Below are 19,921 nucleotides of genomic sequence, written 5' to 3'. Positions count from 1 at the left end.
TCATGAATGGACGGAGACGATCTTCATTTCATTTCTTTATCTTTATTTCTAAGAAGACATTTTGAATTCCACCCTTGGTTTTCTGCGAAGTATCAAATGATCCAGTGTCTTTAAAGCTTCCTTCACATATCCTATTTTCCAAGCCATTAACTCTCCTTGTAACTCTTGTAAACTTTTGTGAGTTCTCAGTTTCTAAATTGTAGGATCTAGAAACAGGCAAGGTATCTTTGCATTACGTATTTTGGGGAAAGAGTACAATTGAAGAAAGTTATAAACAAGTAGTTAATGACAGACGACAGACTACTATGTGAAAGGCAGCATATCCCTATGAAAAAGTCCTAATTCTTTCATTTAAAAAATGACAAAAAATAATCTCCAGAGGGCTTAAGAAATTTGTCCAAAGTTATACAGCTGTAGAGTAGCAAACCTGAGATTTGCACCTACAGATATTAGATGCCAAAGTCCAATCTTCACTGCACCAAAAAATTCACTAGATTAAAAATGGCATATTAACAGAACGCAGGGAATTGGACTCATAAAGGTCTATTGGCTTATAATTAACTAACAGTCTTTTAAAATGCATATATTTTCTTTATCTTATTTGATTTTTAAAAAAAAACCACCAAAGAAATTATCTTACTACACTTTGCAAGAAGAGTGAAGTTCAAAGATGGATAAGTAAATAGTTCGCAGCTACACAGTAGTAAGATTTAGAGACTAGTCTGAAACCCAGGATGTTTGACTGGCCTGAGAATGTTCTGCTAACTTACAACAGGCCATACTTCATAAATCAGACATGATTAGGTCCAGTGTGGCTCACAATAGAGTGATTTACTTTAAAAGTCTAAACTGCATTTGCGCATATGTGATTAAACAATGCCTTCTTTTTCTGTATCCCAGATTGTCAAGCCTAATACGCAGAGCTTAGAAAGAAAAATAAGGAATACTTGTATTCCTTAAAATCAGCTTCTAGATATAATTGTTTCATAAAAGATACTTAGAGACAAGAATAAATTAATCTGACCATGTACACATTTCCAAAATCTATAGGGAATGTAAATTTTATAAGAATAATGTTAGATAGTTAAGTAATACAACCATGTCTACCAGGAAATTAAAAAGTTAACTCACATGTGCTGATGTCTTTCATGAGAAAAATAACACAAAATACTAGAAGAGAGATTTGAAAATGTTCTTTATGTGGGAAAGAGAAGAAGAATCTGTGATCAATAAAGGGTCTCTGAGTTATCTCTACTTGAGAAGTTCGAACTCACCAGACTTTTAAGGTTCCTTTCAAATAAACTCTCACTGCCCTCAACAAAATCAACTGTTACTGATTAAAGTTGTGCTCAGTATATGATACAGAGATTAGAAAGGATATAGTCTGCTCTTACGGATGCTTTTTAGCAAGCAAATTTCTTTAGCATCCATTCTGTCTAAATAAATGGTGAGCTGAAACTTCTAAGCCATGTTGCTTAATTTACAACCCCCAGCAAAAAGTGGGAAGTATGTTTATTTTTAGATTATTTGTACTAGAAACAGTGGGGATTATTTTCATACCAGCCACCCCAGTACAACTCAGCTCTGAGAGCCAAAGGCAGACATTGTCTAATATCAGGGCATCCTAATTTCAAGTTGAAGGCATAACATATTCTAGAGTGTTAATGGGCAAATTTTGATGTTGCTGTTCATTAGTAAAAATGCCTATGTTTTATTTAATCCCAGTGAAACTAGTTGATTTTTATGTCAATTACATTTTTCCTCAATTCAGCTAAAATTTATTGAGTTCCTTCCTTCTATAAGATATAAACATACTCTTGTTCTCAATATTTATATATATTTAGCAAGTTAGATGTTACACATGACTGTAAAGGAAAAAAAATTAAAACACAATAAGGTAAAATCCAAAGACTATTTTAAGATCTATCCAGATATTTTCTTCAGTTGTCTTTCTTATGTCATGAGATAATATAGATATTAAAACATTTTAAAATTATATCAGATCTGTTTGTGTTGCTACTTGTCCTGGCCTATTCAAGTGTCAGAGAGAAGGGTAGGTGGTATGAAATAGATTGCCAAGTTCTTAGAGAACTCGTGAAGGCTAACATATACCAGTGTCTTCTTCCCTTGAAGATATATCAAGCCTTCCTAACACTCAATGCCATAACTAGAATACCAAATATATAATGTAAGCTTTCTGGAAAATCTATTGATTCTTCAGGAGTTTAATTATCCTGCAATTTATTCCCTAGGCGATCAGGGATCTGCATACTCCGGTTAAAGCCATCACAGAAACTCAGATATTATATTTCAGCACCATGTGTTGAAATCGGGTTCCTCTTATTCTTTTTTTGTATACTGACTCATTCAGTCTTTACTTACTAATCTACAAGTTTTGTTTTAGAATTATATATCGTTACCTAGCTCATGAGGCTTTTCTTTCTTTTTCTAAATAATAAAAAAATTTAAGCACGCAAACACACCATGAAAAAATGGATTTATAGATACAGGAAAAGAAAAAGAACTCATATTTATTGCACACTTCCTCTGAGGCAGGCATTACTAACTAATTTCATATGAAGGATTGGTAAATTTTCATGAAAACAGTGAAAGCTGAGCTAGATGCAGGGAGGTGGCAGATATGAACAAAGTCACTCTGGCAAAGTAGAGCCATGGATGAGAACAGAAAGACACATTTGGAAATAGTTTTTAGTATCGGCCTACATCTTATTGTCTCCCCAGATTCACTCTTCACCTTCCAGCTCCTTTGCCCCCTGGTGACCTGTTGGATTTTCCCAGCTTAATGCCCATTGGCAGGAAATGGTAGGAAGAAAGCAAGATGTGTATAAGTCATAAACCAGTGTTCACTAAATATCAGAATTCTCTATCTTTATGTTCTGCAAATCTCTTCAGACCTAGTGAAAATAACTGGTGTTCTTCTATCACTCAGGTAGGCACTGAACCATACCTCATGGCTTCCCAACAGCTAGCTACACCTTTATAAATATTTCCTCCTGAAATTAACCAAGTTAAGTGTGCCATCTATTTCTGTGTGGAATGTGATTGTGTCTCAGCCTGATGGTGGGGCTGCATTTTGAATCTTACTCTTTTCTTTTTAACCACAACTCCAACTTTTTATAGTATATTTCTTGTCTTTCACATTTTTCACCTTTCCAAGTTCTTTTCCACTTATTTCTCCTACTAAATAGTTGAGCTGTATTATACACTATTTTGTTCTCTGATTTTTTGTAGGGGGTGATGGCTGGTTGTTTGAACTTAGTGGGATACTCAGTGTGTGATAGTACTGTTTTATCTACCACAACGCCAACACAAGAACAAACCCTGAACACTCATGGGTGTTCATGGTGGTTTGGTTGTTTGATATTTAGTGATAAGTTTTCCTTTTAGATTGGGTCCCACCTTTATCTCAATTTTTGTATTTTCTATCAAGCTTCTTAATGAAAGCTTAAAATGCCAATAACCTATGATCATCTTGCATGTTTGGTATAATAAAGAGAAATTAGGTCTGAAGACCTCTGGAGCTTTATATATAATGTGTACTGTTCCACTAAGTAGCCACATGACCATTAGAAGTCACTCTTGAACTTCAATATCTTGATTAATTGCATAAAGACATTTTCTGTTCTGAAAGATTTTTATGGTCTATGGCCTTAAATTGTTGTAGATTTTCAGGGTGATCTAAACAGACTTTGATCACTTCCTCTCAATGTAAGACAACACGCATGATATGAGAGGTGGTTATTTTAATGTTAATGAAATGTTCCTCTATTGTCCAAAACTGAATAAATCTCCTTTCTACATATGAGTTGATCTGTGTGGATAGATGCTGATTACTTTTTAATGCTATGAATCAATTTTTTTAAATTAATCTCTGGGTTTGCTGTAACCACTTTCCTTTTTTGGATTTCTAACTCAGTACAACTGCACAGATGGGCATTGTGCAGCATGGTGGGTCTTGATGCCAGTTGATGTTTGGAATGGTTGACGAAACAATGCAATTATCATTTTATCTACCAACAGTGGTAGTATGAGGGAGTAACTGATTGGTTTACTGATTTGGATAAGGTTCAGGAGAGTAAGAACAATAGTGTGTTACTTCCTGTAGAGTGGGAACCTGCTGAGTGAGACTTGCTCATTTTCCTGGATGGATTGATTGATTGATTACTCTGAACACAATACTTGGTTATGTTATCACCCGGGGTGACTGAGCTATGCGGGAGTGTTGGCAGCAATACTGTGTTTCTGTAAAAGGTGAGAATGCTTTGGATAAAGACACAAACAGACAGAGCCAGCCTTTAAAATATCAATCTGCTTTCTGTTAAACTACCATTTGGAATTTATTTTTATAAAATACATTTTATCATATTCAGAGCTTTAGATTTTAAAAATGTTTCCTTCTTGTTACAGATACTCCAAAGAAGTTGCCCTTTTGTTTTTCCTAAAATGAGCTTTCAATTTGGTATATTTGATATTATCAAGCTACTCTGCTTCTTGTGGTTGAGAAAGAAGTTGTATTGACTACCTGAATTCAGATTGCTATTGTAGGCTGACTCCTAGAAGGGCACATCTAGAGAATCAAGGCATTCCCACTTGATCCAGACACGTAGTTGGCAGCATACTGGGACTTAGCAGAGTTGTTTAATCTGTGTTTAGCTTAAGAGTTATAGAAAGGGTAATTTTTTTTTACATAATATGCTATGAAAAATTCCCTTCTACCCTTATTCTCAATTTTTCCAGGGTATCAGGAGGATGTCAGAGGGGGGAATAATAGCTATGGTTCCACAGTTGTTCTCTTTTACAATTTCACCTCTTCCTGGAACAACAAATTTGCCTGGCATGCAACATGCTGCCTGGTACATAAAAATGAATACAGAAAAAGATTTAAGGGGATTAAAAGGTCAATGGATTATCCATTAAGCAACCAAGTCTCAATATGCCTCAATTTGTCTAGATGGTGATTTATTGCCTGGGATAAATAAACCAAGATCAGTTGGTTTTCCTCTGGGGTCATTCCCTTTAAAATCTCTACTATAGCCAGGTCTTTGAGCTTTCTGTCACTATTGTGTTTGTTTTTATTAGTTGACAGTATTTTAAAATTACTTCTAAGCACCACCCAGCTCAGATCGTTTTAGATGATAAAGGCACAAGGCTTTCTGAAGGTTAAAGACAAACAACTTGAGGAATATAATTCAGAAAACAAGAGAAGAAGATCCATCTGTATTGTGCTTCATTCATTTGGCAGGTATCCAAATAGCTGTTCATTGGAACACTGGCAGGGGAAAATTCCAAGCCTTGTTGAGCTTTTAGGGAATGGTATAGTATTCTAACTTGCATTACCTCTTTAGTTTTTCATAGGTTAATTTTACCCTTGCAAGAAACTCAGGAAAATAAGCAGTTTTCTGTGCACACTAAACACACAGTAAGTTTAATCGTTTTAACATTCTGAAATGTTCTCAGACTCAGATGTCATACAACCTTGGTTTTCCACTTGGGGAACAAGGGCTGTGATGGAATCAGTTGCTTGATATATTCTATTTGGCAGTCTAGGATGATAAAAGTTTTATAACCACAGTCCACTGAAGCAAAGCAAGAATGGTTAGAAGCATTTTAAATTAAAAAGCTTTGCCATTGTCAAAGAATGTGAATTTTGAGGAAAATTCTATGCCATGGAGCAGGTGGAATTTTCAGTGCTTTCTCTAGCAAGTTTCAGCAGGGGCTGTTTTAAACCACCTCACATCCAAATTCCTTACACATTGTTCCTCAGGAGTAGATGGTCTTGGAGTAAAGAGAGTCAGTTATACAAATTTCTGAAGGGAAATATTAATATTATGGCCCCTTGGGTAACCAGCTAAGAGCACAACTCATAAAATGTGACTTCTGTCATTTGAGCAATTCTGATTTGGGGGTATATCACAAAGGATGTATTTCTCTTTAGATGACTAGTCCATTTTATTTAGGTTTGGGTCTTGCATTTATGATTACTCAGACTTTAAATGTGACCTGAGCTAAACAATATTTCAGGAATTTGAAGACGTTTCTCTCCACTCCATTAAAATGAATATATGTCAAACTCAGTACTGATTGATCCACGTAGACCAATGATTCCCGACTTTGAAAAATGAAGGTGATGGGTTGGTGTGCATTTATTGGAAAAAGGGTTTCTTGATTCTATGTACAAACCAGGCACATGTACTACCTAAATAAGTAAAATGCCTCCCATGCCTTTTCATTTATGTGTTCAAATCCATGAAGTTGCTGTCAACTGCATAAAATATTAATAAAAAGGATGAATAAATTCATATTAATTTCTTTCCTTATATATTTATACAGTGAGTGGACACTGGTGAATATCTTACTAGGTCGTATATATATTTTGTAATATGATGGAAACTGAGTGGGCCCTATACAAACAGTAAATTGACACTTAAAACTCAGCTGTTAATTAAGAGTTAAAGCTTGGCAATATGATTATTTCTAGAAACTTCCATAGAACGGGCTTAGGGAAATTAAAATGGCCCTGTGCCTGGTTCACTAAAGAGTGCTTTCAAGGATGGTGGATCCTTATTCTAAAACTGCCGCCGTCATTAGTCTTTTGACTCTTTTAGAGTGCAGAGTTCTATGTTATCTAAAACTTGAACAAACATAAACTAACTTTTGCCTCACAAGGATCTTGCAAGGTGGTAGAATCTTAGAATCATAAGATATTACAGCTGAAAGAGGTCTTAGCAATTTTGAAGCTTAACACTTTCATTTTACAGATTTGGAACTGTGCTATTAGGCCAGGGATGTGACAAGACTTGGTTAGTGTTATGTACCTATTTCATCATGGAGCTGGGACAAGAAACCAGTTCTCTTTATTCCCTGGTCAAGACTTTTAGCCTATTATCACAGTGGTTCTTGTAAAATGAAATGCAGCTTAGACTAAAAGCTCCTGGGTAAAAGTATGATAACCCTGTAATATTGTCAGACTCATGATATGAGTAAACGTGAACTCATATGAAATGGTCTTCAGAAGTACAGGTTTAAATACTTAATAGTTAACTGGAGTGACAGAAGCTACTTAGAGCAGCTTTGCTTAATGAACATTGAAATTTTTAGTGGGAAAGATAATTAAAGAAAGTGAAAAGAATTAGCCAAGAGAATTCTGTGGTTGTGTTTACTCATTTTGATGATTATAATGTACAGACCCATCCAGTAATCTGATATTTTACTTACTGAGGAATTAGAAAGCCAAAAGTAGGGGCAATGAATATCCTCAGATCTGTTCCATTGGTGCCTTCAAAGTTGGTCTACAGTAGGGAATATTGCACTCACCAACCATATAAAGTTATTCTAAGAAATAGCCATGTGAATGATCGTCTTGACTCTTACTCAAAATAACATTTTGGTGAGTTAAAAACCTAATGATATGGTTTGGCTGTGTCCCCATCCAAGTCTCATCTTGAATTGTAGCTCCCATAATTCCCACATGTTGTAGGAGGGACACAGTGGGAGGTAATTGAATCATGGGGATGGATCTTTCACGTGCTGTTCTTGTGGTAGTGAATAAGTCTCATGAGATCTGATGGTTTTATAAAGGGAGTTCCCCTGTGCAAGCTCTCTTGCCTGCTGCCATGTAAGATGTGACTTTGCTCCTCGTTCACCTTCTGCTATGATTGTGAGGCCTTCCCAGTTATGTGGAACTGTGAGTCAATTAAATCTCTTTCCTTTATAAATTACCCAGTCTCAAGTATGTCTTTATTAGCAGCTGAGAGCAGACTAAGGCACTTATTAAATAGGACATTTTTTGTTGCTTTTTAGATTTTAATTATAGGAACAAAATAGTATTACAAAAACAGAGTCAGTAGAAAAATACTACTTGTGATTCTTGCCCGAGAAGACTTTAATGTTCTTCTTGGCTTGACTAAACTTTAAAAAGTTTTCCTCCTGACTATTGGGTCCGGATTCCCTTTTCTTAGATAACTTACTTTAAAACACAATTATAAACTCTTTCTCTACTCCTTTGGGCTGTAAATATGCTTCCAGCTTGCCAGTTTGATAGCTCAGAAATGTATTTTCAAGGACCTAGGAGCCATCTCTTCAAAATGTAACCAAGAAAGATAGGGTACACTCTCCTAGTTTCTATTAAAAGGTAGGAGTCTAACTTTGTCAAGTACCAATTAGGAAACGTATTGACCAACCTCTCCTCGACATTTTCCAGCACTTTTCTACCAGGTTAGCCCAGCACTTAAAACCCTCCTGCTTTTTGTTTCAACAGAGTTGAATTCAATCCCTCTTCCTTATTGCAATGTCTTGAATAAAGCTTTTCTTGCCTGTTTAATTCCATGTAGTGCCTTCTTACTTTGACATCTTACAACCTTAAAAGAAAGATATTTTTTATTTCTTTATATTGCTGTTCAATTCTTTTTTTCATATTAACACCTGGCATGCATATATCTGAAGTGTGTCTACATGTTTTTTCATTTGTCCTAAACATTTTTCCATTTTTCTTTTTAATTATCACATGATACCTCATGAATATAATGCTTATATAGCTTATTTTTTTCTACTTGAGACAAATGTTAGCTACACAGCATAAAACATTCAATTACAATATTTATTCAAATGCTCCGCCTTTATCATCATATGGTAAAGCCACAAGAGTGGTTCATTTTTGTGTTACTTTGGTAATATGAAGGCCATGAAAATTAAACTCAGCTGTAGTGAAGAGGCAAGGCACGATAATTAATACTCATTTTTGTCAGTCAGTTCTGGTAGTTTGGCTCCAAATTAGTCCGGGCTGTTTCACAATTCTTAATTGCTCCCTACAAAATGTGATCATGCACATTTGGCCATATATTACTGAGTATATTGTTTCCAAAAATACTTCTATTAAGCTGTGAGTGCTAAATGGCTTGGAATAATACAAAAGGAGGAGTAAGTGATAAGCAAGGGGAAACAGGACACATATTTTAATGACAATGGACACACACTTTATACAGAGAGATATTAGGACTAAACAAGTAGGAAGACGCAGAATGGTGACTTGTGGGAGAAAGAAACAGACGAATCCAGGTCTCAGGAGGTAGGGCAGACGGTGAGCTCTACAGCGAAGAATTAGATGTTAGTGATGAGATTTAGAAGAGTTTGTGCTGTGATGTATTTTGTTTGTGTCCTTATTTGCTGCATCTCATGAAATAAAACCTCCTTCTTAATGGTAGGCATGAACTATTTCCCTAAGACATTTTAAATATGAAGGTGGTGATATGTCAAATCTGTGTTCAAAGAGTAAGCAAAATGCTTTTGTAAAATAAATACTTTATCATTTGAGGTTTGGGGTTTTGTATTGTTTGGCTTCTTATTTTTGGTTGAGTGTAAAGTAAAATAAGAATTGATAGATACATTAGTGGTCTACAAAAATTAACAATTTTTTCAGCTATATCATGTAAAATATAAGAGAACTATCTATAAATGTCTACAGAGATAATATAGAAAATGCTGCAAAATATTTTTTAAAATTTGCTGAACTGTGAAGACTGACAGTTGAGTCAAAAATCAGATTTTGTTTAACAAAGTTAGTACATCTTAAGCTTCTTCTGCCTCTAGAAGTAATAAAACAAGAATGATGAGTGATTGTGGAATTGAAAACAGATTGGCTTGCATTTTGAACCACGTCAAGTTCAATTTAGCAGAGCCATTAATTTGAGGTGGTTTTATGTTAATAGTTATGGAGAAATGTTATTGGGAGCAGAACACTCAGCCAAACGTACTGAGCATGTGCCTTATGGATTCACAGAAGCTAAAGATGGTTTCAAGCAAGCTAAAAAAATGCCAAGTCATCACAAGCCAGTAATTTTTGGCTCCCTGTCCCCCTATCTCAGAATGCCTGAACCACTGGATTTCTCTAAATCAATATTTCATAATTATTTTGCCAGGACTCACTTTCTATTATGTCAAGGAAAATTTTATTTCAAATATCTATGACCTTTACAAAGTGACACAAGGCAGTGTCAGAAGGTAGATTGGTTTGAAACTCTTCTCTCTGCTGAGATCGTCTTGCCAGTTTTATATATTTTGAAAGTCAAGAAACTCCCAAGATGTATCATTCCTAATGACTTTTAAAATATCCTTCTAAATCAGGTAGAGGAAAGTTTCATTTTGTTGATTCCACTAACTTTTGTGAAACAACTATTTAGGTAATTCTGGAACTTATTAAAATGCTCCTGGGTGCCAGGCACTATTTTTTTGTTGTTTGTTTGTTTTGTTTTTTGAGATGAAGTCTTGCTCTGTTGCCCAGGCTGGAGTGCAGTGGCATGATCTCAGCTCACTGCAACCTTTGCTTCCTGGGTTAAAGCAATTCTCCCACCTCAGCCTCCCAAGTAGCTGGGATTACAGGCGCTGCCATCACACCTGGCTAATTTTTGTATTTTTTTTTTTAGTAGAGATGGGATTTCACCATGTTGGCCAGGTTGGTCTCGAACTCCTGACCTCAGGTGATCAGATCAGGCACTATTCTATGCACTCAAGATATAAGTGTGGAGAAAAGGAAGTCCACATTATGTTCATATTTAGTTGGGGAAGATAGCCAGTGACAAATGCAAAATATGTCAGGTGGTAATAAGTGTCACAAAGAAAAATGAAGCAGAATAAAGTCACTAAAAATGATAGATCCAGGGATGCTATTTTCTATGGATTATAGAAGCTTTCTTGATAAAGGGATCTTTGAAGAGAAGCCTCATGAAAGCACATAGATAAGTGCTTCTAAGCAGTTACGGCAGCAAGTGCAAAGGCCTGCAGATGAAAACATCCTAGGGCTGTTTAAGGAACAGTAAGGAGCTTGGTGTGAACCTGATGTGTAAGCTGGGGAGGTACTGGAAGCAAAGGCAGTCAAAAAGGTAGGATGCTATAAGTCATGGTAAGTTTTCTGTATTTCACTCTGAATACCTTAGGAGGGCACAGGTGAGTTTCGAATAGAGAAATGAATTGATCTGACTCAAGTTTTAGAAGAGTGATTGACATCTACATGCCAAATAATACCTAGGTAAAAGTAAGGAGAATGGTTAGAAGTCTCTTGCAAGAATCCAAGTATAAGAAGATAGTATCTTGGCCGGGCGCGGTGGCTCACGCCTGTAATCCCAGCACTTTGGGAGGCCGAGGAGGGCAGATCACGAGGCCAGGAGATCGAGACCATCCTGGCTAACATGGTGAAATCCCGTCTCTACTAAAAATACAAAAAATTAGCCAGGCGTGGTGGCAGGTGCCTGTAGTCCCAGGTACTCGGGAGGCTGAGGCAGGAGAATGGCATGAATCCGGGAGGTGGAGCTTGCAGTGAGCCGAGATCGTGCCACTGCACTCTAGTCTGGGCGACAGAGTGAGACTCCATCTCAAAAAAAAAAAAAGAAGACAGTATCTTAAACCAGGGAGATAACAGTGGCTATAGTGAGAAGTGGGCAAATTCAGAGTATATTTTGAATCTAAAACCAATAGTATTTACTGATAGATTGGAAGTGAGATATGAGAAAGAAGAGTAAAGACTAAAGCAACGTTTTGGTCTGGTAGGATGGAATTGCCAGTTAATTTGATTGAAAAAACTGCATTTCGGATTCGGAGAGAGTAGATATAAAGCATGTCTTTGGGAAGCTTTAATTTTAAGATACTTATTAACTTTCAATTACAGTTATCAAATTAAAAGTTGTAGTTTAGAGAAGAGATTGAGACTGGAGATGTAAATTTGGTCATCAGCATATGAATGAAAATTAAAGTCATGCTATTGAGTGGAAGCATTTAGGAAGTAAGTATAATAAAAGAAGATTATAGATCTGTGGGTGGTTCCTGTGATATTCCATTTCATACAGGTAGGGACAATGGGGCAGATCCAACCAAGACCACTGAGAAGGAAGAACATTTGTAGTAGGAGGATAATCCATTCAAAGGACCCTCCTGAAAACCAAATGAAGAATGCATTCTAAAGATAAGGGATGAATCACTTCTGCCAAGAGTTGTTGATAGGTCAAGTAAACCAAGGACTGGGAAGAGATCATTGAGCATTTCAAAATGAAGAAGAGTGTGATTCATCAAGAATCCTTTGTATGTAAACAGAGGGTGAAGGCCTGCTAGGAATGGGTCCAGGAGAATAGAGAGGAGAAAGGTCATATAAACTCTTAGTATAGACAGTTCTTTCCAGGATTTGGCAGGCAGTGAGAAGGAACAGTAAATGTTATGGATATTGGTAAAGAAGTTAGGACTTGGGACAAGAGAATATTTGTTAGTTTATTAAGATATCAATATCAAAAAAGAGATAATTTGTTAAAGAAGATAAGCTTATTTACTTGATAAGAATCTGCTGGGTTCTTGACTCTACTGTTTCATCCACACCCTCTTTTCGCTTTGCCTTTAAGTAAGTGATTCTTCTCTGTGAGATGTACTCAGCTTGAGTGTATTCTAGCTCCCTGCCTCCCCCAGGGTCTCAGACATCGTTTGACATTGAGTTTGGCATCAAGAGTCCAAAGAGCTCTTTGCCAACAGAAAAATGTGTCTCATGCATTGTAATGCAACGTGCCCCAGCCTCAAAATGGGCCAGCGTGGAACTTCAAGTTGATTTAAATTGGAATCAAATGGACTCATAATTCTGCACAGCAAAGTTAAATTTACTACAACTCAGCCACGGATAGCATATGCCAGAGAATTTTGCCATCCGCACCTCTTTGAGTTTTGATTTACTGGAAAATGGTTTGTTGTTGACTGAAATGCAGACAAATGTTCCCTTCTAAAAAGTGAACATAATGGTGGCATTTTCCCTTCCTTCTCACATAGGCACTCTTGCTTTTTCAAACTTTAGTACCACTTCTGAGACAATTAAGATAATTTGGCCATTTAAGTACTAACAGCCACAGCAGTCTTAGAACCACTTATTTTTTAGTACTAAAATGTAGTAAAAAGACATCATTGCTTATTGGAATTTTAACGTTTTTTACTGGGCTTGGACTATAAAAAGCATTGGAGTTGACTTTGTGTTTGTTCTTAAGTAGACATTGAAAAGCAAGAAGAAAGGAAAGATGTTTATGAGAATTCACCTGAAATTACTCTAATTTTGAAAACACTTTGGTGGTGACTTGAAAACAGTTTTGATTTGGACAGAGAGGCTTGTGGACAGCCTGGAAGGGATTTTTAGGAAGGAGGAGGACATTAAAGCCAAAGCAACAGAGGGGTTTCTAGTCCTATCAAACTAAGAGCTTTCTTTCCAAAGATGAAAAACTAATTGTATTCCTTTTGTAGTTTTCATGAAAACACTTATAACACAGATTCACACTACATAGCCCTTTAATAATGTAGTTCTCATAATGTAATTAGGCAGCTGGAAGCTGACTGTGCCCTGCACTTCAGCTGAAATGAAGGCTGTAATGAGAAGGTAAGAAGGGGTGACCTACCTTCACCCGGTGGGGTGGAAAGATGTCCAAATTTGCAGTAAGTGGCATTTTCAGAGATGAATTTACTTTTTAAATGTTAGGAATGAACTTTCTGAAAAGGTGTTTCTTATAATTCAGAATTTCTCTACCCGAATGAAACACAAAATAGTGCCTGTCCCAGAGTGTTGACCAACTTTAGAGGTGGCAACCCTAAAGCTTAATACTAGCTTTGACATTTATTAATTGGGTAAACCCTCTCAGCTTCCTTTTTCTTCTCAGTGAAATGAAGAAAGGGATTAAAAACAAGAACAACAAAAATAATAGCAAACCATATAAGATGACAGGCTATTCTAAATACATGATATTGATGACAGTGGCAGCCAGTCTGGAGTGGCCACTGCCATGACACTGGCTGCAGTGGGGGAGGCGTGGCTGGGGCTGCATGCTCCACAGAGCTGCAGGAGCTGGGAACAGGTGGAAGCCCCGCCCGCTTCCAAGTTGAAGGGTGGGGAGCACCATTCTTCTGAGCTCAGCTATAGCTGCTCAGCCACGACTGCGGATGGGGCATCTCTGCACTCTCAGGGGCCAAGGAAGCCCCCCTACCCCTACAAGCTCAGAAGTGCCTGCTCCTGCTGCTTGGCCTCTCCCTACTCCCAGTGCCTGTTCTGATTTCAGAGCAAAGTTGTGGCCAAGCCCAGGCGCTGTCATGACCCAGCCAGGTGTGTACATGCTTGGGGCAGCACTGACACACACTAGCCCCCTGCTGCATCAGCCCACTCTGGACTTTGGGTGCCGATGAGCCTGGGAGGGAGGCTGGAGAGGGGATAAGGGCGGCTTGGCAAGGGACTGCAGGCACCCCCTCTGCAGGAACAACCTGGGCATCCTGGGTGCCATGGACGGCAGATAAACGGCAGCAGGAGGTGACAGGCTCCAGGGGGTAAGGGACAGGTCCCTGGTGAAATCCTACCTTCAGGCTAGGGAATGGCCTGAGGCCTGGGGCTTGGGCTACCAGTTCTGTGGACCCGAGTGAGAACTTACGGTGCCTTTTCCAGGGCTGTCCATGGCCACCCAGGGACCAATCAGCACACACTCCCTCTCCTCTGAAGCCTATAAAAATCCCTGTCCTCAGCCAGACTCGGGCAGACAACAGCACCACCTGCCTGCAGAGGAGCTGCCCACTATGGGTCTCCTCTAAGGTGTTCTGTCACTCAATAAAGCACCTCTTCACCTTGCTCACCCTCCACCCTCCACTTGTCCGCGTACCTCATTCTTCCTGGATGCAGGACAAGAACTCAGTACCTGCCAAATGGCATGGCTGAAAAACACAAGCAGGGCTAAAACACTCTCCTTGCTTGCCATGTGGTGGGCAATGGAAGAAGAAAAGAGAAGAGCTGCAGCCCTTTCAGGAGCCCAGACCTAGGAGCTCCCTGAGTCAGGGCTGTGACACCTTCTTTGGGGCTCCTGTCAGTTCCTGTCATCTCCAAGCTTTCAGGTGCCACCGTGTTCCCCAGTGCCAGCCGTGGAAGCTGCTTGTGGTATGCCTGGTCTAGCCACAGCCTCGCAGGGAGCCAGTACCCGTGCTGGTGCCTGGAGCTGCCTGCCATGCCTTGGCCGGGATGCCTGGCTGTTCACAGTGGCTGGACCCCAGGCTCCCTCACTTACACACCCCTCGCTGTTTCGTGCTCCATGCCTGGCTCACCCTTGACAAGCATGGGATCCAGGCCAGTGACATGAACTGCGTGCAGCCTGCCAGGCTGAGTGGGCGGAACAAGCCCAGCAGGCCGAGCAAAACTCAGGCATAGTCACCACTGGCCACAGAGGTCTCTGGCCAGAAAGTGACACCCCAAGGATCCTGTGACAATATATTTTAGCTAATAATTCTCAACACCTTAAAGAGGTGAATATTAATTTTATTCTTATTTTACAGATAAGAAAACTGAAAGATAGGAAAGATGAGCAACATAACCAACGTCTCAGGATGGAGAGGATGCACTGATTAGGTTTTAAACTAGGAAGGGTGACTCCAGAGTCCATTCCATTAACCACACCTTGTTTCTACTATGGGACTGTGAGACCTAACAGGTGATGTAGGCAAAATACCTGTCATGTTGTAGGTGTTTAATGCTAAGCATTATCGTTGATGGATAGAAAGCCTGAGCCAGTCGTGAGTATTTGTCTACTTGAGTCCCTGTGCCTGCAGTATGCTATAGCCCCAAAATCCAGTCTTACTCATCGAGTAAAGTTCTATGTTCAGTGGTCCCAGTAGATTTCATCTTCAATCAAAATTTGGCAGGCAGATACAGTAAGAAATAGAACTGTTAAAACCTAGTAAACAAAATGAAGAAAGCTGAGGCTTTTATTTAGGAATCTCAGCTAAAAATGCCAAATCTATACCAAAAAGAAAAGTTTGTAATTCAAGCAGTATAAGACCTTCTCCTCTACTGTTTTCTTGCCCTTGATACAATTGCCACCTTCATTCTTTATCTCTGTTGCTTTGACTTCACAACCTTCCCTGTTATTTCAGCATTAATAGCAATCAGTGTTATCCTCTTAGCTGGATCCAATGTACTCTTTGTTTCACTTTCTTTGACTTTATCCGAAATTGTTGTCACTTGCTAAATTTTTAGAAAGCTGTCCCCCACCCCAATAAAACAGGAATCTACTTCTATTAATTCTTACATAAAATATATTGCATCATTTTCTATTTGTTTGTACTTAGATTTACAAGTAGTTCAGGACATCTACTGCTTGGCATTTTAAAAGCATTTTTTTCCCTTTCTTTGTTTTTCCTGCCCTCTTTTCTTCCTTCTTCTCTCTCTCTTTCTTTCTTTTTACGATCGATAGATAGATAGATAGATAGAGAAAACTTTCTTGAAACTAACATGGTAGCATGAAATGAAGGCCAATAAACTGCTAAAGTCACCCAATCTGGCCTTCATAGTGGAAATTATCCATTCTCTTCTCATTATCTGACTATAAATTAAGTGTGCCTATTTAATTAGTTCCCGTTTTAACTTGGTAAACAGGCAAATTTGGAGAAACCATTTTGTACCAGAGCTGTATGAAGAACTGTGATTCTAAACCATGGATTCTGTTTTGGTCTTAGGTCAATCACTTAAAATCCCTGAAGCTTTATATCTTTCTTTGTATAATAGCGATATTCATGCCTACTTCATAGTACTGCTATGAAGTTTATGCAATATATATATTATATATCACCAAAGGTAGAGCCCAGAAGTTAGTGGTCTAGCCCTGGTTAAAGCAGCTCTCCAAATTCTTTCAGAAAACTTGTCTCCTAGATGATTGCTCCATTATCCCTAGGCTGTGCTTCTAATCCTTGTTAGCCAAGTTGGTTGCTAGAACTTCAGTCATCACATTCACCTTCCAGGAAACAGAAGGGCAAAAGGAGTTTAGAAAGACAGGTTCCCATTGACTTTTAAGGCAATTTTACAGATGTTAGATGCATCTTTTAACTTGGTCATGGCCACACATAGCTGTAAGGAGGAGAAGGAAATACTTATCTGGGAAGGAAAGGACCTAACTAAAATTTGTCTTCTTAACATTGAGGAAGGAGAGAAGAATAGTTATCAATAGTTGGCTTGAGTGTCTGCCACAGATAGCAAGCATACACCTATGATTTTATCATTTAACTTGAACTGAAAAAGGAAAGTGAAATTGTTTGACAAAATATGTGTTTCTATTCCAATGCTTTATCTTTTAGTTAAACAAGATAATGGATGTGGAAACTGTTAAAAGAAGTAAAATGCCTAAATAATTGTTAAGAGAGATGTTTTTGTTTCCTTCTTTTATGATGAGTGGTTTTCTAAGTGGCTGTGTGTCAAGATATTAAAGAATCACTGAATCATGAGCTGAAGGATAATTTCACATAAGAGAGTCAGAAATACTTAAGAAACATAGCTAAGCACAGCGTCAGAGGGATTTGACATAAACTTTGATGCCTGAAAGAAGACACTTCGGAGTTTAACAGAGGGTCATAATTTTTGACGGAATGTGCTTTTATTTTTCAAAAACAGGGATAGAATTTTTTTCCTTTACAAGCCTAATCATTGAACTCACTCAGTATTGCTTTTAAGAAAAACCAAGTTAATTAGCTGTGTGAATATAGGGGAAAAGAGCATTAAATAAATACAATGCATTAATATGTTATAAATAGCTATTAAGATACCCAGGATAGCATATGATATACCAGGTATAGCTTATTTCCATAATTGGAATTGGTGAACTATATGATAGAGATTTGTCCCAAGACTTTATCTGTAAGACAGGATTAATAGTAAATTGCTAACTCCTAAGGTGATTTTAAGGTCAAGGATGAAGTAATAAAAATATCAATAGGGGAGACAGACAGACAGATAGATACAGAGACACAGCACTAGCACCTCATGAATGATTAATAAATTATTCATGTGATGCTTAATAATTTATAACTCCTTTAATTTATAATTACTTTGTTATTTCCTCTATACATGATGAGTAAATGCACAGGATATCTGAGTTCTTAAAAGATAAGATACATAACCCTCTAGGTGTTTCTGAATTTTCTAGGTGCCATCCATCTCTCATAATCCTCCAACTTTCCTCCACAGATGGACCTGCTGACCCACTGCATGCCTGTAGCACAAATGGGTGTGATTATCTCATGAAAAATTTCAAAGCAAAGAGGGAAATAAATGTGGAAAAAACTAGGGTATGTTTGAAAGTTCATGAAAAATGCTTTTAAAAAGTGCTTTGAAAACGTGGTTGTCCCCTGGAGATAATAATTCACTATCTAAGGTTATAGGTTTGGCTATACAAAACAAAAAAAAATCAACACTGGAAAATCAAAGTAGTGTCCTTATTTTAATTCTAGTACTGTATCAGCCTAAAAGCTCTAATCTTAAGTGGAATGGCTTGCAAAAAAGGCAAAATACTATATGTTAGAGAGTTAAATTAGAATGACTTTTCTTTAGAATGATTTTGTAAGAGGGAAAAGATTTTGTTTAGGACTAGACAATTCACACATACAAAAAAAACTTAAGCAAAGAAAATGATGATGTTGAGACATATTTTAATAACTTTATTAGCCAACTGTGTGCATTGATGTCAAAGAAATGTCTGCAAAGAATATTAATATGGAATATTTGGGGAATTCTGATTTGCCAGTGAAGAGACTCTTTCACTGACTGGGCTTGCACTGAGCACAACAGAGAGAAAAGAAACCATTTCTAACCATTTCTTCCTTTCAAAAGATAGACCGGTCGCCACAGACCAGATAAAAGGACGAAAGAGGGACAAAGTTGTGATTAATTCCAACTGAGTTCTGTCAAAAGAAAAGTGATACCTACAAAACATTCTTGATAGGTCTAACCAACCATGGTCACCATTATCATTATCTCCTATGATGATAGATATTGGTAAAATTTATCAGAGCTACCCAGAGATATTCAAACTTTATTCAACCTAATCCTCATGCCCTTGCTTTCTGCCGTCATTTTTTGCCTTCAAATTTCTGACTCTCCATTGACTTGTTGATAACTCAAGTATATTACATCTCTTTTGACTTCCTCCTACAATCTCATATACACCTACTTTGACCTGGACATACCTCTGGACTCACTGTTTCTTTACCAACATTTCCCACACTCAGCATGTTTCATGGTCATGATTAAGAAGAACAGTCCTTGTTGGAAAGGGTTACTGCTTCTAAAAACCTGGTTAGTTATTCTAGGGAACATGTCTTGGAAAATTTGAACACCAGGATATGATAGGTCCCAAAGAATCATTTATTCCTCCTGGGTAGCTACAGAAATCTACTATAATTAAATAAGCATTTGAATAACGCTTTCATTTGGGAGAAAATTGATTCTCCTACATGCTTTCTCATTTTAAAAGGAGATATCATTCAACACTATAAGGTAGTTGGTCTCACCACTAACCCTATTTAACAGTTTAAGAAAGTGAATTATACAGAAGTTAATAACTTACCATAGTTTGTAAAGCAAGGTAATTATAGAACCTAGAGAAAGACTCAGATCTCATGACTTAAAATCCATGTCTTTCCACAGTAAAATGGTGGTTCCTTTAAGTTTTCCTGCCTATTGTAGATCTCAGGGTATACATTTTTGTTGGCTGTGTTTCTAGTCTACAAAGAATAAAGCTCTATTTTTTTTACTGTAATACCTCAAAGACTGAAATAATTTGTGTGTGTGTGCGTGTGTGTTACTTCTCTCAATTTAATGAAAGTGCTTCTCTGCAACAATCACACCACGCATATCCTACTAATTCCTTATCCTTTCTCCAATGAAAGCAGAATGCTATTCATCCCAATTTATCAGCAAGAAAGTCATCCCCATGTAGGTCCTTCATGACCCCTACCAGAATCAATTAAGAATCCACTTATGCAAAACGGTGGCTTAGGGAAAACCATTTTGGCTTCTAATGCTACTTTTCCCCAGAAGTGAAGAGATACTCATGTTTAATGCAGATTCTCACTTGTATAAACCAGAGTGCTTTCA

General features: G+C 37.7%; 1 protein-coding gene across 17 annotated transcripts in view, besides 1 other annotated feature; it reads left to right on the top strand.

Moving 5' to 3' along the window:
• The window catches only part of LRRC4C (leucine rich repeat containing 4C), a 1,345,454-nt gene that overhangs the window by 199,214 nt on the left and 1,126,319 nt on the right, over nt 1–19,921 (top strand). The window lies entirely within an intron of this gene.
• Nucleotides 14,576–15,532: an enhancer, noted in NCBI's record as "H3K4me1 hESC enhancer chr11:41266457-41267413 (GRCh37/hg19 assembly coordinates)". NCBI's record gives its function as "activates a minimal SCP1, AML or CMV promoter by ChIP-STARR-seq in naive H9 embryonic stem cells {active_cell/tissue: H9 hESC(naive)}" and the evidence as "EXISTENCE:reporter gene assay evidence [ECO:0000049][PMID:30033119]".

The sequence above is a fragment of the Homo sapiens genome, chromosome 11 (assembly GCF_000001405.40).
Source record: "Homo sapiens chromosome 11, GRCh38.p14 Primary Assembly".
In the NCBI taxonomy this organism is placed as follows: Eukaryota; Metazoa; Chordata; class Mammalia; order Primates; family Hominidae; genus Homo; species Homo sapiens.
The sequence above is the reverse complement of the archived record's forward strand: the minus strand, read 5'-3'. Positions and strand labels throughout refer to the sequence as shown.